At 42.2% G+C, this 1,753-nt stretch overlaps 1 non-coding gene across 1 annotated transcript; it reads left to right on the forward strand.

Moving 5' to 3' along the window:
- The first annotated feature begins 1,257 nt into the window (after positions 1-1,257).
- LOC124906189 (small nucleolar RNA U109) lies at positions 1,258-1,392 on the forward strand. Its single transcript, XR_007088770.1, has one exon. It is a non-coding gene; the product is annotated as a small nucleolar RNA U109 (small nucleolar RNA).
- The last annotated feature ends 361 nt before the right edge of the window (positions 1,393-1,753 follow it).

A 1,753-nucleotide genomic window follows, 5' to 3' on the forward strand; every position in this document is an offset into this window, starting at 1 on the left:
TAGTCTTTACCACAGTTCAACAAATAGTTGCTGAAAGCATGTGATGTGTGCATCCAGCTGGGACCCAATAACAAGGCAGACTCCCTGCCTTTGAGGCACAAGTGAACAATTTCACAACAGTATAGTAGGAACAAGGGGCATAACAAGCACAGGATATGTGGAAACTTAGAGGACAATACTTAGCCCAGCCTGGAGAAGTCTTGGAAGGCTTCCTGGTAGAGGAAACACTTGTGCTGAGCCTTGAGGATAGGTAGAAAAGTGGGAGAAAGAAGGAAATGTATTTTAGACAGAAGCAACAATTGGGATAAAAAGTGTAGAAGAGAACTATAAGCAATTTGATATTATCAGAACGTAAAGGAATGAGCAAGGAGGGGCAGGTGATGGAGCTGCAGCAGCCTTCTATGGAGAGCCCAGTATGTTATCTAGAGGTATTTGGACATTTTAAATAGGCAATGGGGAAAAAATGGGAGATTTAAAAGAGAGATTGGTATATGAGTAGCCATGCATTTAATAGAGGTCCCCTTGGTAGCTGTATTCCGTATGGCTTTGATGGTGGCAAGACTTAGATAACAATTTGGAGGCTTTTCCAATTGTTTAGGCAGGAGTTGATAAGGGCTTAAACTAAGCTGTAAAGGAAGAGTCAATGCAAGAAATATTAATGACTTAAAATTGGGAAGATTGTTAATTGTTATATTGAAGCTTCAAGGAAAAGAAGGAAACTGGAATGGTCCCAGGCTTCTGATTTGGGTAACCTTGTAACTTGCCTTGTCATTAACTGTATTAGTCCACTCTCACATTGCTATAAGAACTACCTGAGACTGGGTAATTTATAAAGAAAAGAGGAATAATTGGCTCATCATCCAACAGGCTATATAGGAAACATGGTTGGGAGGCCTCTGGAAACATACAATGATAGCAGAAGGCAAAGGAGAAGCAGGCACATCCTACATGGCGGGAGCAGGAGGAAGAGAGAGAAGAGGTGGGTGCTACAGACTTTTAAACCGCAAGATCTCATGAGAACTCACTCACTATCATAAGAACAGAAAGAGGGAAACCTGCTTCCATGATACAATCACCTCCCACCAGGCCCGTCCTCCAACATTAGAGATTACAATTCGACATGATATTTGGGCAGGGACACAGATCCAAACCGTATCATTAACTGACAAAAAATATAGGTAGAGACATAGGTCTGGGGGGAAGGTGAGTGCAGTTTTGGGAAGTTGTCCAGCTATCTATTGTAAACTTAGGGGCATACTGTGTGTAGAAATGTTTGCTCCTCTATCCTTTGGGAACAGGAATACATTCATAACATGCTACATGTAAAAAGGACTCCCCAGGGTGGCCAATCTTATGGTAGAGGTTGTATGGTAATATATTTCTCCTTCATAAAAGTGGGAAAATAAACTTAGAGGCATAAAAATACCATCAATTTACTGTGTTCATGGATTCTGTGAACTAAGAAGTTGGACAGGGCTCAACAGAGGTGATTTATCTCTATCCGTCAATGTCTAAGGCTTTAGTTGGAAAGAGTCATATGCCTGGGGGCTGGAATAACTTGGAGATTTATTCACTCACTGCTGGGGCATTGGTGGAGAGGACTGAAAGGCTGGCTTTGTCACTATCAAATGTCTAGCAGCATTCCTAGCCTCTAGCTACTAGACACAAATAGCATCCCACCCACCCAGCAGTAACAACCAAAATGTCTCCCTGACACTGCCAAATTTATCCTGTGGGACAACTGTCTCCTGTG

Source organism: Homo sapiens, chromosome 2 (genome assembly GCF_000001405.40).
Source record: "Homo sapiens chromosome 2, GRCh38.p14 Primary Assembly".
Lineage (NCBI taxonomy): Eukaryota > Metazoa > Chordata > Mammalia > Primates > Hominidae > Homo > Homo sapiens.